The sequence below is a fragment of the Homo sapiens genome, chromosome 7 (genome assembly GCF_000001405.40).
Source record: "Homo sapiens chromosome 7, GRCh38.p14 Primary Assembly".
NCBI classification, from domain to species: domain Eukaryota; kingdom Metazoa; phylum Chordata; class Mammalia; order Primates; family Hominidae; genus Homo; species Homo sapiens.
In genome coordinates, this window is record NC_000007.14 from 112,116,091 (window position 1) to 112,141,757 (window position 25,667).

The 25,667-nt window shown below is 39.4% G+C and overlaps 1 protein-coding gene across 12 annotated transcripts in view, besides 1 other annotated feature; it reads right to left on the minus strand.

Annotated features, from left to right (window-relative positions):
* The window catches only part of DOCK4 (dedicator of cytokinesis 4), a 480,290-nt gene that overhangs the window by 389,981 nt on the left and 64,642 nt on the right, over positions 1-25,667 (minus strand). The window lies entirely within an intron of this gene.
* Positions 11,756-12,391: an enhancer, noted in NCBI's record as "NANOG-H3K27ac hESC enhancer chr7:111767901-111768536 (GRCh37/hg19 assembly coordinates)". NCBI's record gives its function as "activates a minimal SCP1, AML or CMV promoter by ChIP-STARR-seq in primed H9 embryonic stem cells {active_cell/tissue: H9 hESC(primed)}" and the evidence as "EXISTENCE:reporter gene assay evidence [ECO:0000049][PMID:30033119]".

Consider the following 25,667-nt stretch of genomic DNA (forward strand, 5'->3'; position numbering starts at 1 on the left):
ATCATCTAGTTCTAAAACTTTTTTAACACCCCAAATGGAAACCCCATACCCATTAGCAGTCACTCCTCATACCCTCCACCCTCCTCTCCCCAGCCCCCAGCAACCACTAACCTGCTTTCTGTCTCTACAGATTTACCTATTCTGGATATTTCATATATATGAAATCATATAATGTGTGACCCTTTGTGTCTGGCTTATTTCAATTGGCATAATGTTTTCAACGTTCATTCAAGTTGTAGTATGTATCAGTACTTCATTCCTTTTTATGGCTCAATAATATTCTATTGTATAGAAACACTTTGTTTATCCATTCATCCCTTGATGGACACTTGAATACATAGTTTTACTAAAAAATGCTCACCTTACGATCATACATCAAAGAAAAGCAACTGCCAGCCCCAGCATCCCTGCCCCATTTTCCGCCACAAAGAACATGTGTCACAAGTGGGGAAACCAGAAGAGAAAACCTAAGATTAGCAAATGACTGCAAACATCACTTTGTAACTACAGAAAGAGTGAGCTCTGGCCACAATTCTGTTTATAACATATTCATAACCAAGGCAATGAAGAGTGAAGAGCCTGTTCTTTAGACCAACTAAAGGACTTGCATTTATATTTTTGTAAATATCAAAGAGAATAAACAAAGTCAAAAGAATTTATTGTACAGTTTTCTTTTCTTTTCTCTTTTTTGTAGAGTCGGCTGTTGTTGCCCAGGCTGTTCTCGAAATCTTGGCCTCAAGTGATCCTCCCACCTCATCTCCAAAGTGCTGGGATTACAGGCATGAGCCACTGTACCCGGCCAGTACAGTCACTTCTCTCTAATGCTTGTTTTGAAAATACAAATTTGTTCTAATGCAATTGATTTTAAAAGGGAACAATTTGAGCATAACACAAATTTCATGTTTATTTAGTGTGTTTCCTCTGAAAGAAACAGTAACTGAAGACTCCCAGGTGAACCAAGCCATGCAACAACAAACAAAACACACCTGTGCACACACTTTAAAACATCCAGCAACCATCTCAGTTCACTGCCTGTGTTGTAAGCCACACCCATTGATACCTGGTGTTAACAGCCTTCCTGGGAGTCCCATAGCTTTGCTCCCACCTTTTCACAGTAACTCACAAGCTGCAGCCCTCTAAAGCCCTCATTCACAAATAAACTTCAGGTCTTTTTAAAGTCAAAATGTCATATTTATCGTAGTATTTGTGTATTTCATAACCATTGAACATGTGTACAACCATGCTACCACTTTTATTAGCTTCATACCTTTTCTTTCTTTCTTTTTCTTTTTTGAGACGGAGTTTCACTCACTCTTGTTGCCTAGGCTGGGGTGCAGTGATGTGGTCTCAGCTCACTGCAGCCTCCACCTCCAGGGTTCAAGCGATTCTCCTACCTCAGCCTCCCAAGTAGCTGGGATTAAACGTGCCAGCCACCACGCCTGGCTAATTTTTGTATTTTTAGTAGAGACAGGGTTTCACCATGTTGGCCAGGCTGGTCTCGAACTCCTGACCTCAGGTGATCCACCTGCCTTGGCCTCCCAAAGTGCTGGGACTACAGGCGTGAGCCACTGTGCCCAGCCACCTTTTCTTTTTGTAAAATGTATTGCTGATAAAGTTTTTGGATGTTGCGTCTGTTTGCCTCATAAGTACTGTGGTTTTGTTGTGTTATTGTATGGCATGGTGATTTTTTAGGAGAGCAGCATTCGTGTTATGGCAGAACTGACTTATGGCTTTGATTTCCAAATAGAAGCTTAGGTCTAAGACCAAGCTTCATGACATGCCTCTTCCTTTACCTTGAGTCAATCCTGGACATCCAAAGACATCACTGCACTTTCTAAAAGCCTCTCTCCACTCAACTCTTTAAAACCTTTCTTCTCATATCACCATAAGAAAGAATGGCCTCCTCCTCCAGAGCCAGGAAAATCCATGCACGATTTTCTACACAAAATACAGAGCTATTGTGTAAGGAAATTCATTTTGCTTATTGAACCGTCCCCATTTTCCACAAAAATCTCTGATCTTCTTGCAGACTTCTTATTTATAATATATATATATATATTTTGTCTCCTATATTTTTTTCTCCTCCTCTTGAGACCTTTTATAAAAGAATAACAACAGAACCATGGAGACAAGATTGAAGAAATCATTTCTGTAAAAATCCCTGCTGCTTACTTGGGCTATATTCAATTTTCTCCTTCTTGTATTTTAGAGAATTTATAGGAATCACTAAGTAATTTATTGTCATACTTAACAAGATTTAATTGAACTGCTTCAAATGAAAATCATTCAAAAGAGACAGGCAAGATGATGATAAAGTAAAGAAGTAAGATTTCAGAGTAATTTGAAAACAAGATAAATATTTTGGCCTCTCAATCTACCCAAAGATACTACACCAAAATAAAATTCACATTTCGTATAAATATAGAGTAACTAATACTCAATGACTCTATATAGAAACCATTGCCAAAAAAGCCTTCCTTCTGTACCTCACCGTTGAGTGGCCACTGGGACTTCTCTCCATACTTCAAACTCCCCTTCCTACGTTTTTCCCTTCAGTAATATAGACCAAGATGCTAAGATCATCTTCTCTTCTAACCCCTTCAACCCCAGTCCTGAGCCTGTCTTCAATCTATGAATGAAACAAGCCAGTTTGGCAAACAAGCCTGTTTGGCAAGGGGAGAGGAAGCAGGAGAAACTGTTAGCCCTCCAGCTCACCCCTGCCATGCTCCCAAACTCTCCATCTGTTGTACATACAGAGTCAGAGCCCAGTTTCTTCAATAACCACCCAGAAGACTCAAAACTTCATTTTTCCCTAAATGTAGATGTGCCTTTCCCTATAAGTCTGAATATTCAGTGGCCTACATATAGCTCGTACGCATCTTCATCTTTTTCTAATGAAATTGTGTATCTATGTGAAAAAATGGGGCAGGGATGGGACCAGAGCTAGTCACTTTGGCTCGCTGTTTCCAATCATTGTTGGCAGTAAAAACACCCATAGACAATGGCCAAGTCATTATGTCATTCCATCAAGGACCCAGAGCAGCAGAAGAGATATCCAGAAGGACTCACTCTCCAAGACAAGAAGTGAAAACAGCAGGGTGGGAGGGAAGCAGAGGAAGACAGAGAACTGAATAAATGGAGAATCCCAGAAGCTTTGCCAGATAGAAGCCTCCGCCCCATTCCACCCCACCCTGCCGCTTTTAGCCTCTGCCCCCACCCCACTGTGGCAGTAGATCCCCACCAGTCCAGGCAGTAGGTGAAGGGGTACAATAAAGGGCAAATATGTCCAGGGCAAGACAACACTGAGGAAAGAGTAGTTCTGGCCCGCCAAAGTTAAAAGCCCAACACCATCTCAGGATGGCTTCAGATCTACAGTGCTGTTGGCACTCAGACACCTCTGACACATTAATATTGGCCCAAACGTCTAACACTGATTGAAATATAGGTTCTGTGGCAACATGTGTGCCAAATCCAAGCAACTGTGCCCTAAACGAACATTGGAGACACAGCCCTTTCATAAGGAAACAGAACCGGGTGGTTATTAAGTCTGAGTTCTGAAGTCAGAAACCTGGGTTCACATCCCAGCTCCACCCTTCTGTGGCCTTGGGGAACTCACTGATTCTTCTGAGTCTCAGTTCCCTTATCTATAAAATGGGGATAATAATGGAACCCATCTCATGCAGCTGCCGTAAGGATTATACAAAGGCAGGAAGCACAGTGCCTGGCGTATATTTAGTGCTCAATAAATGGGTAGATGGCTTTTTTTTTTTTTTCCGAGATGGAGTCTCACTCTGTCACCCAGGCTGGAGTGCAGTGGCGCGATCTCGGCTCACTGCAACCTTCGCCTCCCAGGTTCACACCATTCTCCTGCCTCAGCCTCCCAAGTAGCTGGGACTACAGGTGCCCACCACCACAACAGGCTAATCTTTTGTATTTTTAGTAAAGACGGGGTTTCACCATGTTAGCCAGGATGGTCTCGATCTCCTGACCTAGTGATCCGCCCGCCTCGGCCTCCCAAAGTGCTGGGATTACAAGATTGCTCTTTTTAATAATTTAAGCTTCACTTAAATTATTACAGAGAATTCCTAATTAGTCCCCTTGCCTCAAAGCCTACATACAAACACCAACATTACTAAACAAATAACAGCTAAAACTCTGAACAGTAAAAACATCTATTAATAATTGCAGAATTTTTTTTCATCCACTGGGCCACATGTCATTTGTTGGAATTTTTTGATAAAACTGTTTAGTAGCGCTATTTTAAAATAATGTTGTAATGCCATGAAAAAGAAATCCGGTCTCAAATTTCACAAATTTTGGGTGAGGTTTACATTGTCTGGATTAGTAATCTAGACAAAAGAGAAAAAATACTTTTTTTGTGTTTATATCCTCAAAATCAGACACTAAAACCCCTATGTTCCTACTAGTCATACTAAAAGTAAATGGACATATCTAGAAGAGGACAAATTTTGGGGACACATCTGAATTCTATAAACCTGGTTTGACATAAAGTCAACTTCTAATTATTCACCCTCACAATACAGACTTCAATATACATAAATAGAGATATATACACATCTGTTTATGAATTTAGGTTGATACCAAGAGCAAATACTATATTATACTATATAAAATTGCAAATCTTTCCTTCCAGGCTCATAAGCAATATATCTACTGAATATTAATGACCTCAGAGGCCTGATTCCATGATCTTGTGAGCTTCTTCAACAAGTCTTTGCTAATTTTAGAATAATTCAACATTTGGAGAAACAGTTGGACATTCCAAGGCCTGAAATACATAATTATCAAAGTTAGGTCACTGCAGTCATTTGACTGTAGGGGGATTGGGAAGTACCTTTAAATTTTTCATTCTTTGAGAACAGAGGATTCAGCCTACGAGACTGGCATCAAGGGAATTCACCCCATGATCTCAGTCATCTTAGCATAAAGGAGACATTTATTAACTAGCAGGTGTCACTTTCTGAGTACCTACTATATGCCAGACACAGTGCTAGATATTTTTGTATGTTATATCCTCATGATAAAACTGCAAAACTAAATAACTCTCTTATCATCTCATATGTGGAAGTGCTGGGATCTGAACTTGGTCAGCCTGACTCCAAATCTCATGCCCCCTTCCCGTCTCATGGTATTTCTCTACCAGATATGATATTTTCTGTATCCTTGGATAAAGACTCTGATCTCCAAGAAGTCTTCTTCCTTCTAGGGAGTAGTAACAGGATGCTATCCTGTTATTAGATTCCCCACATTCCCCTATGTGTTCTGCGGAGCACAGGCTCCTAGTGCTTCTTACAAAGGTCCATCTCCATCAACAAAACGTTTAACATAGCTTTAGACAAATCCACAGGGGCAAGGTTCCTTCTCTCTTTTGTCCACTTTATGTTCTCTCGGTCACTGACCTCTTAGCATTAGGTTCAATTTTCTTTAACTTTCAGAAACCTTCCCTTCTAGGCTTCCCACCTACATTATTTCATCACCCTTGTTCAGGAAATCTTCACCCCACTCTAATGTGAGAGAGAATAGCAACAAATTGAATGCTTTTAACTTTTAAAAATTAGATTTCATTTGCAGACAGCAAAGAAAATAACTCTAGGCAGGAAGGCTCATGGACCAACATACAGATATTCAGGGTCTATGAAATCCCTTTCTGGTTTCCTTTTATTCTTCTTTGAGAGACCAGTGGTTTTGACCCCACTCATGCGCTGAAACTGCTCTTATCAAAGTCATGACCTTCCTGGTGCAAAATTATATCTGATCTCTTATTAAACACAGATGATACTCTCTTCTTTTTGAATTACAGAGTATATAGTATAGAATTCTATATTAAAATCAATTTCTCCAGTCACTTCTATAAGTATTTGATTTACATTTACTCCTGACTATAAAAAAATGCTGCAAACAATATTAGATAATATTTTCCACATTTAAGTTTTCCCTTGGATTCTGCTTTGTCTGATATTAACATTGTCATACTTGATTCTCATTTGCCATTGCTAATAGATCTTACCCTGTCTTTTTATTTTTAATTTTGGTGGGTCATTATGGTTAGTATTTTTATAAAATTGTGGTAAAAAACAAAACATAAAATTTACCATCTTAGTCATTTTTAAGTGTACAGTTCAGTAGTGTTAAGTATATTCATATTGTTGTAAAAGAGATCTCCAGAACATTTTCATCTTGCAAAACTGAAACTCTATACCCATTAACTCCTCTTTCCTCTGTCCCCCCAACCTCTAGGAACCACCATTCTACTTTCTGTTTCTTTGAATCTGACTACTTTAGAGGTGGGTCATTATGTTTTAAGATTGTCTCTTTTTTCTTCTTCTTCTTATTTTTAATAATACAGATGGGGTCTTCTTGTGTTGCCCAGGATGGTCATGAACTCCTGGCCTCAAGCAATCCACACACCTTGGCCTCCTAAAGTCCTGGGATTACAAGCGTTAGCCACCACGCCCAGCCAAGACTGCCTCTTATAAACAGTATTTAGTTGGATTTCTTAAAGCTCAATCTGAGTTTTAACCCTCTAGTGTTTAGCCCAAGTGCATTTATTGAGAGGATGATATATTTGAATTTGTCATTTTTATTTCATCCTTTTGTTGTATGCTTATGTGCTATATACTTTATCTTCTATGTTGTTATAAAGACTAGTTTTTTTGTCTGCTTTAATTAATTTTAGTATTTTGAAAGTTGAAACATTGTTTTTATCTTATGAGTGACTATCTTTAAGTTATCAAATATACACTGAAGCCCATATTTCCCTAATTATGTAGTCAAGAACAAGATCACTTCCAATTTTCTCATATGAGGTGTAGACGCCAAGGGAAACTTCCCCTCTGAAGGTCTGCTGAAAAATTAATTCTCAGAAGGCAAATTACTCAGGGCAAAGGCATACAAACTTTATTAATGTATACACAGGGAGAACCACAAAACCCCAACTAGAGTCAGAAGCTTCTATGCCTTCCTGGCAAAATAGCAGGGAGAGAAGAGGAATTCTGTTAAAGGGATTGCGAGGGAGAATGAATGGATCAGGGAGCAGGGATTAACTCAGACATTATCTTGGGAAAATGTCCATTCAGGTGTGGTTACATCTTGGTCTAATAAGATGGAGAAGATCTCCTTGGTGGGTCTGGATTTTAGGCAGATAAAGAACTTTAACTTCATCCTGTGTTTGGGAGAGATGGTGGCTGAGGAGAAAGGGGGAAGGTCACATAGACCTTGAGGCTTCTTCAGTTCAGCATGTCAAAGTGCCGTATTTGGGGATATGGGTTTCTGAACCCCAACACGGGGATAAGAAATTTAACATATATCACAAAAAAGTAACATGAAAATTCATGGCCTTTATAAAAAGGACCATGAACACATCTTTGACTCAAAGTCAAAATAAAAGTCTAGTTAAGTGATTGCAGTTTACACCAGTCATTTCAATCATTCAAGCAAAGAACAGATTCTGGAATTTTAGCTATCAAGTCAAGAAACCTCTTAGCCCCTGCATAAAAGAGGAAATAATTTTCTAAATGAGTCTATCCAATGTATCAACTATTTGCTCAATAAATTTTCTACTACCAACCCGTGTAATACCCATGGCAACTTGTATATTCCAGAACCATTACAGCCTTGAACTATCTTCTGTCACATTCTTCTGCTATAACTCAAGGCAGGCAAATTAATTTCCATTATCCCCAGAATCAGCTATCATAAGGAAGAAAAACCTGCTTTAAAAACTAAAGAATATATCCTAAATCTTAACAGACAGAATCTATCCAGATAAAAGGGATCTAACTAGAAGTAACAGAAGGACTGTCTATAGTTATATGGCACACCCATTACTCTGCCCTGGCACGAGCTATTAATCAGAAGTTCAGAAGTGTATCATGAGGATAGGGTATTAGTTTTGCTGATCATTAAGAAACTAAAAACTTTTTTTTTTTTTAGAAATAGGGTTTTGCTTTGTTGTCCAGGCTGGAATGCAGTGGAGCGATCATCATTCACTATATCCTTGAACTCCTGGTCTCAAGCGATACTCCCACCTCAGCCTCCCAAATAGCTGGGACTACAATACTGCATCACCACACTCGACTATTTTATTTTTTGTAGAGACGAGATCCTGTTTTGTCGTCCAGGCTGGTCCTGAGTTCCTGGTCTCAAGCGATCCTCCTGACTTGTCCTTCAAAAGTACTGGGATTAAAGGCATGAGTCACTATTGCCTGACCAAACATTTTAAGTGATATAATAAAGCAACATTCCCTATAAGCCATCCTTATGTATAAAGCATAAGTGAGAAATGGTTAACATGGACATACCTTTGTCACTATTTAAATAAGAAATGAATTGACCAGAGTATTCTACCCATGTCCTTACAGCCACATTAAAGGATATTCCACCCAGTCAAGGACCAAATACAAGTTCTTTTTCTCCTTCCTCCAGTGTAATACAGGAAAGAACACAGCTTAGAAGCAGAAGTGTAATAAGTGAAGAGAGGCCTACCCACTCACTGGCCATGTGACGTGAAATATCATTTCCTCATTTATAAAATGGGAATAACATAATTAACTGCTTCATAAGGCCGTTTTAAGGATAAAATAAAATCATGTATTATCAACTGTCTAGCGCAGTGCCTGGCCCATAGTGTTTTAAGAAAACCACTTAGCTAATTGCTTATTTTTCATTGAAGGAACCCACATTCACTAAAGCAATATGTTTACTGATACATTTCATATATAATTCGTTTTTTTAACCACCTTCCTAACAATAACCTGCTTAAACTTTTAAAACATAGGCTGTATTTGAATCTATTCATGTGCTAAGAACTAAATAACAGACTTAGATGAGATATTCATATAAACATGAGTTTGGTTTACTATGTATCAAAAAGATGTTTTCATAAGGATGCTTCAGGGCCCTAAGTCTCAAGCATGGCCCTAAAGCACTGAGTTAACCAAGGCCTCACTGTGAAAACAACAAGCCTAAAATCCCACAGCTTCACCAAATTTGAAATTACATATGAATGAATAAAGGGATAAGTCAGTTTACTCTCAGGTAATTATAATATCCACTATTTTCTATAATATCTTTGTGAATTAAATTACAGTGTGTCGGGAAAATCATATGTTTTCAGAGACAATGCTCCCCCCCTGCCCCATCAGGATGATCCCAAACCCTCTCTATCATGTCATTTAGAGTAATTGTCTTGCCTCTCAAAAATCCAAACCAGCTATTTAAAAAATATCAAAATTATTCAGAGTCTTTCTTTCTGAAACGCAAGGTCATTTTGTTTGTGTGGTTGCTTCCATTGACCTGTAGACAAAGCTCAATTGTACTTCTTACAGGCTGTCTCCCAATGAATGCAGCAGTGTATCTGGTGTTGCTTAGTATAAAGTCACTTCAGTTATAATTTATACCATGCAGAGAACGGCCTTTGAAGAAGCAATCAATACTAAGGAATAGATACAGGTACATGATTAAAACTAGAGACAGACAGACTGGGTTACCAATTTCAGTTTCACAAGATATGTGACCTTCATCAAGTTATTTAACTCTCTAAGCCTTGGTTTTCCTTATCTGAAAAACAGGTATTGTAAGAGTATCTAGTCATAGATCTGCTATAAAGCTTAAGTGAGACAGGTAATTCATACTTAACAAGCATGGCACTGCACTCAATATATTCTCAATAAATGGCAGGCTCATCATCACTATTTTTTTGTTTTTTGTTTTTTTTTGAGACAGGGTCTCACTTGTCACCCAGACTGGGATACTGTGGCGTGATCATGGCTCATTGCAGCCTTGACCTCCCTGTCTCAGGAGATTATCTCACCTCAGCCTCCCAAGTGGCTGGGACTATAGGCATGCACCACCATGCATGACTAATTTTTTGTAGAGACGGGGCTTCGTCATATTGCCTAGGCTGATCTCAAACTCCTGGGCTCAAGTGATCCATCCTCCTTGGTCTCCCAAAATGCTGGGATTACAGGTGTGAGCCACCATGCCTGGCCTACACTATTCTTATTATTGAAGAATCATCAATGGAATTTTCTCTCTTCTGCAAAACGAGTGAAAATATTAGCTATTTCTAATCAACATAAAAATTAATCAAAATGGCATAACATTGAAATCTTCAAGGACAGAGGCTCTCTGGGTGCATACCATAATCAAGAATCATGCTATTTATTTATTTATCATGCTTAGTCCTCACAGCAGCCCAGAGAATTGGGTATTATCATCTCCACATTAGAGATGAAGGTAAAGCTCACAAAAATACCTACAGTTAAAATGGGTAAGAGTGGTGAGTTAAACACCATCTCCCTGACTTCCAATTCCTCATATTAGATCAGCTCCCCGCTTAGTGTCTAGTACCAGCAGTCTCACATTGAATGTCTGCTAATGAAAACATTAAAAACAACAACAACAAAACACCAAAAGCAATGGCAACAAAAGACAAAATTGACAAATGGGATCTAATTAAACTAAAAAGCTTCTGCACAGCAAAAGAAACTACCATCAGAGTCAACAGGCAACCTACAAAATGGGAGAAAATTTTTGCAACCTACTCATCTGACAAAGGGCTAATATCCAGAATCTACAATGAACTCAAACAAATTTACAAGAAAAAAACAAACAACCCCATCAAAAAGTGGGCGAAGGATATGAACAGACACTTCTCAAAGGAAGACATTTATGCAGCCAAAAGACACATGAAAAAAATGCTCATCATCACTGGCCATCAGAGAAATGCAAATCAAAACCACAATGAGATACCATCTCACACCAGGTAGAATGGCAATCATTAAAAAGTCAGGAAACAACAGGTGCTGGAGAGGATGTGGAGAAATAGGAACACTTTTACACTGTTGGTGGGACTGTAAACTAGTTCAACCATTGTGGAAGTCAGTGTGGCCACTCCTCAGGGATCTAGAACTAGAAATACCATTTGACCCAGCCATCCCATTACTGGGTATATACCCAAAGGACTATAAATCATGCTGCTATAAAGACACATGCACACGTATGTTTATTGCGGCATTATTCACAATAGCAAAGACTTGGAACCAACCCAAATGTCCAACAATGATAGACTGGATTAAGAAAATGTGGCACATATACACCATGGAATACTATGTGGCCATAAAAAATGATGAGTTCATGTCCTTTGTAGGGACATGGATGAAACTGGAAATCATCATTCTCAGTAAACTATCGCAAGGACAAAAAACCAAACACCGCATGTTCTCACTCATAGGTGGGAACTGAACAATGAGAACACATGGACACAGGAAGGGGAACATCACACTCTGGGGACTGTTGTGGGGTGGGGGGAGGGGGGAGGGATAGCATTAGGAGATATACCTAATGCTAAATGACAAGTTAATGGGTGCAGCACACCAGCATGGCACATGTATACATATGTAACTAACCTGCACATTGTGCACATGTACCCTAAAACTTAAAGTATAATAATAATAAAAAAAAACTTCTTTATTTTGAAGAACATTCATAGAATTTGCTTAAAAATTAAATTCATTTAATAAAATGTTAAATTTTTATAGCAAAAAAATAAAAATAAAAATAAAAACAACAACAACAAAGTAAACCAATACTACATCACCAATGAGTATGTGTGCTTTGTAAAGAAAGCCTAAGCTTGGCTGGGTGCGGCGGCTAGCACCTGTAATCCCTGCACTTTGGGAGGCCAAGGTGGGTGGATCATGAGGTCAAGAGTTTGAGACTAGCCTGGCCTACAGGGTAAAACCCCATCTCTACTAAAAATACAAAAATTAGTCGGGCATGGTGGTGCACACCTGTAATTCCAGCTACTCAAGAGGCTGAGGCAGGAGAATTGCTTGAACCCGGGAGGCAGAGGTTGCAGTGAGCCAAGATTGTGCCACTGCACTCCAGCCTGGGCAACAGAGCGAGACTCTGTCGGGGGTGAGGGTGGAGGGCAGCCTAAGCTTATGCCTCATTTACTTAAAACAACATTCAGTTAGACAAACAGTACCACAAACACACAATTTAAAGAGTCTCTTAATATCTTCTGGCAAGGGTAGATTCCAGTACTCTCCTTCCCCAATCCTAAAAGATTCTAAGTTCTGTAACCAGATGACCTTCTCAGTGTTAAATTACTCTCCCCTTAAAAACTGATCCCTCTCAGCCCCTCTGCCCGGCCAGCCGCCCCGTCCGGGAGGGAGGTGGGGGGGGTCAGCCCCCTGCCCGGCCAGCCGCCCCGTCCGGGAGGTGAGGGGCGCCTCTGCCCGGCCGCCCCTACTGGGAAGTGAGGAGCCCCTCTGCCAGGCCACCACCCCGTCTGGGAGGTGTGCCCAACAGCTCATTGAGAACGGGCCAGGATGACAATGGCGGCTTTGTGGAATAGAAAGGGGGGAAAGGTGGGGAAAAGATTGAGAAATCGGATGGTTGCCGTGTCTGTGTAGAAAGAAGTAGACATGGGAGACTTCATTTTGTTCTGTACTAAGAGAAATTCTTCTGCCTTGGGATCCTGTTATCTGTGACCTTACCCCCAACCCTGTGCTCTCTGAAACATGTCCTCTGTCCACTCAGGGTTAAATGGATTAAGGGCGGTGCAAGATGTGCTTTGTTAAACAGATGCTTGAAGGCAGCATGCTCGTTAAGAGTCATCACCACTCCCTAATCTCAAGTACCCAGGGACACAAACACTGCGGAAGGCCGCAGGGTCCTCTGCCTGGGAAAACCAGAGACCTTTGTTCACTTGTTTATCTGCTGACCTTCCCTCCACTATTGTCCTATGACCCTGCCAAATCCCCCTCTGCGAGAAACACCCAAGAATGATCAATAAAAAATTAAAAAAAACTGATCCCTCTCATATACTGCTGGTGAAAATGTAGAATAGATAGTCACTGCGGAAAGCAGGTTGGGTGTTGCTTATAAAACTAAACATGCACTTACATAACCTAATAGCTACACTCTTGGGTGTTTATCCCAGAGAAGTAAACACTTAGGTGCTCACAAAAAAATCTGTACATGAATGTTCTTAGCAGCTTTATTTTTACAGTCCCAAACTGCAAACAACCCAAATGTCCTTCAATGGGTGAATGGTTAAATAAGCTCTGGTGCATACTATGGGATACTATTCAGCAATAAAAAGGAGTGAACTATTTATAACAACTTGAATGGATCCCAAGGCATTATCTCAAAAGGTTATATATAGTATAATTCCATTTATATAACATTCTGGAAATGACAAAATTAAAGAGATGGAGAACAAACAAGTATTTATTAGTGGCCAGGGAACAGTGGAGGGATGGGTACACCTATAAAGGGGCAGCATAAGGGAAGATCTTTTGTTTGATGGAACAATTCTGTATCCTGATTATTGTGGTCGTTACATATACCATACGTGAGACTAAATTGCAATGAACTACACACACACACACATTAGTGTGTGTACAAAATGATTAAAACTGAACAAGCCATATAGTCTAACTTAACAACAATGTACCAATTTTAATAAATTGGTTTTGATATAACTGTATAAGATGTCACCATTAAGGGAGCTGAGTGAAGGGTACATAAAATTTCTTCATGTGGAAGTAGACTCTTGTGAGTCTATAATTATAATTATTTCAAATGTAAGTAAAAGAAAAAACAAAAGATCCCAAGCAGCTTTTTAGCTCATTCATATGTAGAAATCTATAAACAGCAGAGGAGGACAACATTCCTCCTTTTATGGGGTTGTCATTTCCCCCAAGTTACTCACCCTAGCAGCAGAACAGAGACTAGATCTCATGCCACCAAACTCAAAATGCAATCCTCTGTCACACCTTTTATAGTGGGATAAAATGAAGAAGCAAATGCATTAACATATCCATAATCTTGGGCTTTCAGTAAAGCCATTCCCCCAGTGACAAGTCCTTGGGATTCCTGATCCAAATGAACAGGGCCTTGAACACATCTAGACACGGAGCCACTTTTAACTCTGCCTGGAAAGGTCAGGGGAGGCTTCCCGCATTCAGGGAAATTTGAGCCGAGTTTGAATGTTGGGTAAGAGGTCACCTGGCAAACCTGGAAGGAAAGAGCAATCCAGGAAGCTGCAGGCCTGGACAGCATCCCAGTCTTGGAGCACTACAGGATGAGGACGGGGGCTGTGTGACAGTACAGGTACCCGTTGGGGAGAGCCAATATGAGCCTGGAATGAAGTGGGTACCAGGTCCAAAAAGTCCCTGGTGCCATCTGACAGGTGGTAACTCTCAAAGCTCAAAGATAGACACCCACTATGCTCACCAATGACAGGGAGTCTCTTAACACTTCTCTTTATATTTTAAGATGCCTACATTATATTTCTCTTCCTCACATGAATGTCTTTTGCTAGTTAACATAAACAAGATGTCATGGTTCTCCCAATAAGTATAATAATGTGATGCTTTTGTCAGTTGTTTTTTCTGTCTAAGCAAAGCAGGGATTCTATGTAAAGCAAGTAAAATTAAGCTAGTGATGATGGATATCAAAATCACTACTCTAAATAATACACAAATTATAAAGGAATCTCAAGAGCAGGTTGAATCAGAAAAAAATACGCTCTGAGTATGTGCCTTCTCAATGCTGGTCTACACTCTCAAAATAAACGTAGGTCATGTTTTAAGTTAGTAAATGTGGGGAAAAATAAAATGTACAGAGGCTGAGTAAAAATACAGACGCGTCCTACCAAAAGGAACCAATAATTCTTGACTTAAATTTAACAACTTTGTTCACTGTGGCAGTAAAATATTAATGGCATTGCAAAGTTGAATTTGCGTGGGCAGTAATTCACAGTCTCTGGAACAGAGTCTTTATTTTATGTCAAGTCATTACCTCAGTAAAAGTTACCAAAAATAAATCCATTTGACTTCCAGTATTTTAGACAATAAATAGGGTCATTTCTCACAATGGTCAAGTTGGCATAGAAATACGGAGGCTGATAATAGTGAAAACCTACGTGACATAAAGGAAATGGCCGGCCGTATGCCATAAATATGTCTTAAAACTAACAAATGTGATCCTGCTTCTTGTAGTTTTTGAGGGGTCTTCTGTTCTTTGAAATAATCTAAAACTCACAGCATGAGATACATGCTGCTCACTAGATGAGATCAGCTCTCCATTCAGCACTTGAGATTGTTTTAAAAGCGCTGTGGCCCATAACTAATAAATCACTCCATGGTGACTACAGTGTCAAGTATATGCAGCCATGTGATTCCCTGTGTACCTGGGAAGGGCAAAAGGAGGCAAGCAATTCAGCCAGGATACGGGGATGCCAACACAAAAACTCCAGGGTAGATCCTTCACCCGTATGTGAAACTTAGTTGCCCTTGGTTTTATAGGACAAGGAGAGAGGAAACCAACTATTTTCTCATACAATAAACCATGGGCTCCTTAAGGGTGCCCATGTCTTATTTCTCCTCATATCCCCAGCCCCAAAGACAATACCTCTCAATAAATGTTTTTTGACTAAATGAATCAAAGATAGAGTGAATGTATGCATGCATTGTACAATGCAGGAAACAGCTAAAATGTGATACATACATTATTTATTCACTTTTTTTGTTACAACATATTTATCAGGTGCCTATAATGAACCAAAAATCATGTCAGCTAATGAGAAAGAGAAAAAAAAATCATATGGCATAGTCTCTGCCCTTAAAGATGTAATAGGAGAGACAGACATGAACACTAATGACACAAAAAAGGAGGAAGGGAAAAGCACAAAGTGGGGTTGTAACACACTTCATGGTTTCAAACTGAACTATTGGTATGGGGGGAGGAGGAGATGCTTTTAAATTCTATCCCTAGAAAGACGCCAGTGTCCTACAGGGAAAATATGCAGGGTCTGGAGGCAGAAGACTAAGTCAGACAGAAGAAAAAAGGGATCCCTTCATACAAGCATCATCATTGTGAGCCTGAAAGGCTTTCAAAAATCTCATTTCGGGCAGATTTATTAATATCTGCATTGAAGGCAAGGATGAAACGAGCATGGGGTGGGAGTTTGGCAGCCCTTAGACCATTAGGAAAACAGTGGACTGCCACAAAGGTTACTTCTCACTTTGATAGGATCTCATAAATCCATGTAAACTGGCCCCCTACTTTAGAGCCGGAGGACATTTTCTCTGTGGTTGCTTAGTCTTAACTACAGGGATTGCTGAAGAGGTTTAAGTCACACTGTTTCAAAGGCACAGTTCTGCTTGAATTTAGGTTCATCACAGTTAATGAAGCAGAAACGAATCCTTTTGCCATCTCAAAAGGATGTCTAGGTATCACAAACAAAAGAGTGGAAATTAACCAGGAAAAATCTGGGATAAAAACAGGACATTTGGTCATCCCAGCCTTGTGGCAGCTCACACAAAGGATGCAATGTTAAAAATAGCATCAACAACATTCACACAGAGATGATATCTAGAAACAACACAAAGATTGATGGCATGCCTGCCCTGAAAGGACCTTAAAACAGGAAGCTATATAGAGACCAGGCATGCATACACACAAGCAAGGCAGTTAAGCAAATGCTTTAATAGAAAAAAGGGGCGGGGGGAGGTGGGGAAAGGCCTTTGGTCTTGCTATTTCACCTCCATTCAATATCCTTGGTTATTGGATATTGAAAGTATCCAATACAGAAAGTAGGAGGGAACATGGGACACATGCAAAAAGGTTATTAAAGGATGGGCAGAATACTCTCTGGCCTTACAGAATTTACTCCTGGTTTAAACTTCTACTTGGGCACCTGGCCCACAGCTTGACAGACCCACTTTCGCTGCAGGATTCATTAAGCAAGGAAGCTCCTACAGGCCAGTCTTTACTCTTTGTCAGGAATTCTAAGTGTCACTCCTGAATTTCAACTGACAATGGACAGAAGTGAAATGGATGAATCCAGAGACTGGTATTCAGGGCTCTTAAAATTTAGAATCTCAAATTCCAGGATGACCAACTGCCTCTAAATTCCACAAGAATTTTCTACTTCTCTAATATTGAAGTCCTTCTGAGACTTCTAGGTCTTCATTCCAACCCAAATCCCAGAATAGGGATACAGGTCATACCGCATCTCTCTAGTGTTTTGAGGAGAGGTGACAGGCTATACTGATGGAGGCCATGTGGGTGCCTGCGGGAGCTTCTGAGACCTTCAAATGCAGAAACATTTTGCAGGGATAGTTCTTCCTAGCCAGAGAGAAACCAAAATAGAGTCCAGGGCTGATCGAGAGAGAATTTACTGTTCCACTCCACAAATGTTCTTATTATGAGCTTTTTCATATAAATGAGCACACTTTCCTGCTTAATCTTTTATTTAGGCTCTTTGATTTTACACCTCTTTGCCTGAATGAAAAAAAGTATGCTATAAAAAGGCTGCTTGGCCCAGGTATGGCAGCTCATGCCTGTAATCCCAGCACTTTGGCAGGCCGAGGCGGGTGTATCACTTGAACTAAGGAGTTTGAGACTAGCCTGGGGGACATGGTGACACCCGTCTCTCCTAAAATAGCCGGGCATGGTGGCGTGCACCTGTAGTCCTCGCTACTTGAGGGCTGAGGCAGGAAGATTGCTTGAACCTGGGAGGTCAAGGTTACAGTGAGCCGAGATGGCACCACTAAACTCTAGTCTGGGTGCCAAAGTGAGACCCTGTCTCAAAAAAAATACGTAAATAGAAAATTTTAAAAATTAAAAAATAAAATGGCTCTTTGGATGTACGGTTATAAAGGACAAAGACTGCTTCTTTGGAAGAGTGCTGTATACAGGTAGGTGGTTATTAAGTGAACCAGTGTTTCTCAAACTGTGAGTTATCTCACATTAAGGCTTCCTCAAATGGTTTGTGAAATAATTTTTTTTTAACAGACTGGAATGGAATGGAGTGGGATGGAATGAAATAGAATGGAAAACAAAATACTGGAGTGTACCACATGTTGTCAGATTAGCTATTATTTGGTAAAACTTGTGCCATGGTAGGAGGCCAGAATGATGTCAATTTGACATTTAGAAAAATGTAAATGCAATGTTCATATTACTTTGAATACTTCACTGCATTACAATGCTTCAGAATCGTTTCAATTGTAATTAGACTAAGTCTCAGAGTCCATAATTTATAGAGTTAAGACAGATTAACAAACAGGGTGGAGCTTTCACTACAATAGCAACACTCTTCCTCCCTGAGGCTCGGAAAGCCAGCAGTGACACCAACAGCTTGCGAGAGGTAAACACCCTATGCCAAACCATCAAAAACCCTATACATCTCAATCTCTTCCACAAGCATCTGATTTCAATATGGCAGGTTGACCCAATAAACTGTGGAAGGTATAAAAAGTGTTTTTACTTATGTCTTTAAATAACTCTAAAAGTGTAAACTTAATGGCTGGGCACGGTGGCTCACGCCTGTAATCCCAGCACTTTGGGAGGCCAAGGCGGGCGGAACACAAGGTCAGGAGATCGAGACCATGCGGGCTAACATGGTGTAACGCCGTCTCTACTAAAAATACAAAAAAAATCAGCTAGGTGTGGTGACAGGCAAGTCCCAGCTACTCAGGAGGCTGAGGCAGGAGAATGGCGTGAACCCGGAAGGCAGAGCTTGCAGTGAGCTGAGATTGCGCCACTGCACTCCAGCCTGGGCGACAGAGCGAGACTCCATCTCAAATAAAGAAAGAAAGAAACAAACAAACTTAATAAAATATCTAAGACCAGAAAAATAAGGAAGTGGATTCTAAAATTATAAGTATATCAAGGTGGGTTTCAAAGTGCCACAATGCATTATCCTATTTAATAAGAAAACGCTATGCTTCAATGAGGCATATTCCATTTCTCAGAATAAAAATAATACATCATAATAAAACACATTTACTTCAGTAATTTCCTTAACCAGTATTCACCTATGATTGCTATAAAATTTATTTCACCATTAAAACATATATGTGTGTGTGTGTGTATATATATGTATACACCAAAAAAAACCCCACAATTTTTTGTTTAATCAATAAAGTCCTTTCTGTATAATTTACTATTTCTAAATCCTTAGTTTAATTTTGCCTTAAGGCATAATTTGTTTTAACTGAGACATAATTATCTGATTGTGGCTCTTTAATTCTTTTATATTACTAAATTGAAAGTTGGTATATTTTTCAAGTAAATATGATTAAGGCTTATTGATAAATATAGATTGAATTTTAAGTCATTTTAAAATAGTTAAAACCATGGAAATAAATAGCTTTTCATTAATATATTTACGCTTTACCTTTTTAGTCTTATGTTTTTGTCAAAACTAAGCATCTATCTATTCTTACTTCTTCTCATTATACTTCCCTGATGCAGTACCATACACACTGTAGGTACTTGAGAAAAAAAAATATTTTCTGAATGGAAAGACTACATAAGACATGATAAATTTATTCCAATACCCAATTATAGTCTAACTTATTTATTAAATTTTATTCCCTAAAGCAAATTCTTATTAGCTATATAATCTATCTCCTTTAATCAACAGAAAGCCATCAATCCAAGCATTCAGTATTACATCCACTTGACTATCCTGCCGCCTTGATTAAGCTGCCTGTAGACTGCTGTGCAAGGAATTAAATACCATCTAGAATAGAAATTCAAACACCAGAAACTTTGAAGAAAAAAAAAAGGTAACCAATAGCTTTTTCTATTTCTTTTTTCCAAGAGTTCCATAAAATTGTTATCAGTCCTCTCACCAAAAAAAAAAAATTGAACCAGTACAAATTACCCCGAAGTTTAATGATAAAAAATTGAATTTTGTTGCTTTCCTGGTGGAATATCTGAAAGGCCAACAGAAAATAATAAGAGAAACCAACCCTTATTGATTTCCTTCCACATTCTTCCTAATTCCAGGCCACCTGCCCCAAATGATAATCTAAATCTTCAGCCAAGCTGAGAAAACCAAGTATTTGGCAACCATCAAGAGCTAATCAGATTTTTCCTGTGTCATACACCAGTGCCATGGGTTGAAAGGGGAATTATTTGGGCCAATTTCCAAAGATGCAGTGAAAATTAAATACCCTCTCAGAAGTTTTGGCCTCAGTGTGGCTTATAACCCAAATCAATAGCTTGTAAAATTTCAAAGCTCTGAAGACAATAAAAACAAAAAGAATGAAACCGGTTTCATTTTATAGCTAATATGTTTTAATATCAAAAGAAACATAGAAACTATGAAGGACTAGCAACACACATAAAGCCATTATCTTGTAGATTTTTCTCTCTGTGGTTGATCTCACATTTGCAATCCCAGAGTAGCTTGTAAATCACTCAGCCTAACATCATGCCAGAATTCCCACTCCCACAGACAAGTATGATGCACTTAGGGAACACAAAATAATTTTTATTACCTTAATCCAGACAATTACGAGAAGATAAATCTGCTACAAAATGCCATAATTCACTCGCTCCCTCACACATGCGTAACACCTATGTGTCAAGCCCTTTGCTGGGGGATGATGTGGCAAACAGAATTGTGTCCACCCTCAGAATTTATACTTAGGCGGAAGACAAAAGACTGGATACAAATAACTGGAGTTCAAGGTCAAATGTTGTAACTACTATCAGGCTGGCATAAACAAAACACACTAGGATTCAGGAAGGGGCAGAAATTACCTCTAGTTTATGTGATCAGGCAGGGCTTTTTGGAAACAGACCACATTTAAATTGGGTCTTGAAGGATGAATATGATTTTGAAAGCAGAGACTGATGGATAATTTGAAAAATGAAAAGAGAGAGAGAGAGGGCTGACATTTTCCAGAAGGCTAGTATGTATGCCAGCACTGTGCTAGGAGCTTTTATTTATGATATCTCATTTATTTTCAATGGGAAAGCAAAATGGTATTCAGCTATGGAATTTGGGAGAGAGGCAAAAAGGTGGGGAAGATGGGTTGGGTGAAAAGGCAGAGTGCCTCCAATACTGAGCCAAAAAATCTGAACTTTACCTGAGGAAAAAATGGGAAACTACCAACCACGTTTAGAATGCCAAAAGAGAAAAAGAGAGAGAAGACAGCAAGAAAGAAAAGGTATTGAGTCATACATATTGCTATAGATAATTGGTACAAATAACTGCCAACCACATTTAAATAATTTTTTTATCATAGCTTATGTGATGCCTGTATGCTATATTTCATTAAAAGTTTTGGAAGGATTCTAGAAGATAATTTATTTCACCTTCTACTCAATTGAATAAATCCCTCTACATCATCCCAGAGAGTTCCTCCAGCCAGTCTCAGCACCTGCACAACAGGGAACCTCACAGCGAGCTCCTGCTATGCGTCAAGGCCTCTGTCAGAGGAGGTTACATTTCTCCACAGCTTGAGAGGTTGCAAAGCATTTCTTTGAGCTAAAATCTCCCTTGTAGTTTGGTCCTTTGGTCCGAGATCACACACAGGACAACATTTTTCCATCTATTCTAAGACATGCTTTTTACCCATTTCAACAACTATAAAATCAGAGGGAGGCTTACCATCAATTCTGCATTATAACTTTAATAGGCAGCAATTTTTCTGAAAGGCAAATAAAATAATGACTCATTTTATAGCCAGTGGTATCTCAGATGCAATAAAACATAGTAAGATAATATTTTACATAAGGTTGGCCTAACCCTTCCTCAATGGCTAATCTCTTTTCCATATTTGAGAAATGTCCTCAAAAGTAGAGATACCAAGCCAAGGTTCTGCAGCCATACACTCCTCAGCCCAGCAACAGTCTTCCATTTACTAGCTCAGTGACCTTGACCTGACTCACACCTCTTTATAATTTTAGTTTTCTCATCTGTAAAACAGGGCTAACAATAATACTTGCTTCATAGGCTTTCTGTGTGTGCATTACACTGGATAATACACATAAAGTATTTGCATAGTGCTTAGCACACAGTCAACATTCAGTAAATGTTAGCCATGATCATAATCAATCATCATCATCATCCACCTCTAGATTAAATAATTTCTTCTCTACAATCATCTCCCATATGACATACTTGCTAAAACTTTTGTCTACTTCTGGGTCCACTCCAATTTGTCAACACCCTCCTAAAAAATGTTTTGTCAGTTCTCCTGGCTCCCTTCAAACCTCCTATTCTGTTATTTCCCTTTTACTCTAAAGACAATGATTTTACTATCTTTTCAGTACATCCTTATTGGTCCCTTTAGTTGTGTCACCTTGACTATAGTTTTTAGGAAAACTCTTAATTATCACTGTTAAACTGTAAAGTACTTACTATTTTGTCACACCTGGCTACTGAAGTATTTTGTTGGAAAATGGACACAATATGCTCTCACTGGTTTGGCATACATATGGTATGGGAGGACAATTACTGCCCTTACTTTTGATAGGCTTTCTCTACTTATAGAGCCTAGGTTACAGTCTCTCAGATACAGATGAAGAAGAATGGCCAAGAAAGTATTTGCAGAAGAAATTTTTACAATTTACATATTCAGGCAGCACATGTTGAGACGAAGTATGAATACCAAAATGACAGAATAGCATACAGGAAGAAGGCAAGGGCAGTTCCCAATTCCAGGAAGTCAGAGCTATTAACAACACACCTGCCCATACCCAACTCCCCCACAATTCTCTGTTCCTGTTATGAGCTAAATGTTCGTGTCTCTCAAAAATCCATATGTTGACTTCCTAACCCCCAATGTGACAGTTTGGAGATGGGGCCTCTTTGGTAGGTAATGAGGTTTATATTAGGTCCTGAGGGTGGGGCCCCGTTAATGAGATTAGTGCTCTTATAAGAAAAGGAAGGCAGAGAAAGATCTCTCTCCATGCACATGCACCAAGAAAAAGCCACAGTGAGAAGGTGGCTGTCTACAAGCCAGGAAGTGGGCCTGCATTATAATTTCAACTCTGCAGGTTGGCCTAACCCTAACCCTAACCCCTCTGCAGGTAGGCAAGAATCAACTGTGCAGGTACATTGATCTTGGAATTCCAACCTCCAGAGCTGTGAGAAATAAATGTCTGTTTTTTAAGCCCCCAAGTCTGTGGCATTTTGTGACAGTAGCCTGAGCAGACTAAGGCAGTAATTGGTACCAAGAGTCAGGAAAGAGATAAGAAACCGGTAGCTTCAACAGTCGCTGCAAATCCTCCTGTAACCAATTTGTGTACATTAAGAACCAGGGCCTCTCAGATCTAGGAAACAACTGCAAATGGTATGGAGGCTGGCTACCACTATATCAACAAAAAAGCTACTTCAAGTAGCAATCACAAAAAATACCCCCAAAAAGGGCTGAGTCTTTCGAACAAAGACATTAATTCCCAAAGCAAATCTGTTTGCTATTTAATACAAGGAAAAATGGGTTCTAGATCCAGTAACCACTAATCCCAACAGAAGGCACTCCCACTGGTCTATTAGGCAGCAATTTCATAAATAGTTATTTTTTAAAATATAAAGGACAACGTGTGACTAAGAGCTTAGGAAAAGGGCAATATCCAAGAATAACCTTATCAAATGTGAAGATGGGATTTCATTTTAGCTAATCTAAAATGAGAGGGAACAGGGAAAGTATCAAATTAACAAATTCAGTGGCAGCCTGATACTTCTGTAGCCAAGCGTGACAAAATAGTAAGTGCTTTACAGATTGACAGTGATAATTAAGAGTTTTCCTAAAACATATACATATAGTCAAGGTGACAAAACTAAAGGGACCAATGAAGATGTACTAAAGAGACAGAAAAAATCATTATCTTTTTTGTAAAAGGGAAATAGCAGAATAGGAGGTTTGAAGAGGGCAAGAGAATTGAGATATTAGCATGCCACAGACTACAGGCCTTCACTGAATAAAGAGTGGATGTTAGTTGAAGAAAAAGCAGAAGAATCAAGGGACTGTGAGGAGCTCCAACCAAGCTAAAAATTTTTGCCAAGGTGCAGTTTAAAAAGGAAAATACAATTATCTCTAGCATTTTAGTTACCATACAGCTCAATCCCCTTACAGTTAAGATGAGGAAAAAGAGACATCCCCTAAGGCCTCAAAGCTAAGGCACCAACAGAACCAAGATGGAACAACACAGGTCCCAGGTCTAGATTCATGGCTTTTCCCTCCCAAAAGTTTGCGATCTAGTCCGAGAATAAAAACACAGCGGGAATTACCCCATGAAAAACCAAGGATACTCAAGTAAAAGATTAGTCACAATAACAAACCAACTAACACAAGGCTGTATGCTCTCCCCTAGAATGGGAAACTCTGAAACGTGGAGATGTCGGAGCCCCCAACCCCCACCTGCAGGACCTTGTTCTTCACTCTAGTGCAGCAATGTCCAGACCACACCCAGAGCTGATGATACATTCGGTCTTCAGCAGTTGAATATGTTCCACACAAAAACATGCTTTCTGAGATTAAAACTGTGAGGCTGAGCTGTTGGGTTTTGGGGGTCATTCCTTAAGATTAATATTCTTGGATCTTCTGGCCAGTCTACTGTTTTTCATGGAAACAAACCACATTTCAGTATTTTAAGTTGTAGTGAATTCTCAAAATACATACAGAAATGAAGTCTTGAGGCTTTATTCAGATCTCCTGCTCCCCGACAAAAAAAAAAAAAAGTTAAAAAAATACACATAAGAAAAAATAATCTTACCTGATGCATTTTTTAAATGCAGAAAAAAAAAACATACACGGAAGAATTTTTTTTCCTTGCCTTTCAGCCTCTTTATAGCAGCTCTGCACAAATCTCGAAGAATCAAAGAAGGCTTTGGGAGAATTCCTTTTAAGCCTTGTTGGCAACCTTCCAACACACAGAACCACATGGCAGAGATGTTTTCAGAACCTGCATTAATAGCTAAAGATGGAGATGTTTTCAGAACCTGCATTCACACCTGACCTCGAGCAGGCAGAGCACACACCTGTACACCTGGTTAGCTTGAGGCTCTACAGCTGGTAAAATAAAAACAAATAAAATTTCTTTCTAAATGCCCTGTCTTCCTCCAAAACCCAGAGTCTACACATGACTATTCTCAACCCTGAATGACACACCCGGAACTACCAAACCCAGCATCTCTGGCACCCTCTATTCCAAGAAGCATCTTGCATCAACAATCACCAACATCCTGCCTCTCTAATCAGAGGCACAGACACAGCAGCTTTAATTGCAAAGCTCAGAAGTTCTCCAAGCTTTTTATATTAAACCCCTCTGAAAAATCCTCAATCCCGAATCCCACAGCAATCCTCTACCATAAGGGACAGAAAAGTGTACAGTTGCCACACAGTTACCAGAAGACCACTCAAAAACTTGCAATCTGTGATGGTTCACTATATGTGTCAGCTTGGATAGACTACAGTACCCAATTATTCAATCAAACACTAATCGGGGTATTGCTGTGAAGGTATTCTATAGATGTGATTAACACTGACAATCAGCTGACTTTAAGTAAAAGCAAAATTATTCTTGATAACGTGAGTGGGCCTCATCCAATCAGTTGAAAGGCCTTAGAAGCAAACACTGAGATTTCCCTGAAGAAGAGATTCTGACTCAAGACTCCAACATCAACTCCTGCCCAAGGATTTCCTTATATATAAATGATATAATAGATACATACATAAAATCTCCTACAGGTTCTATTTCTCTGGAGAACATGGATTGATGTATAATCCAATCCCCTCTTTGCAACACTACGACCTCTTTAAATTAGGGTTGCAAACTCAAATGTTAATGGGGGCCTGGCAGGTAATGTCACTGGTGCAAAT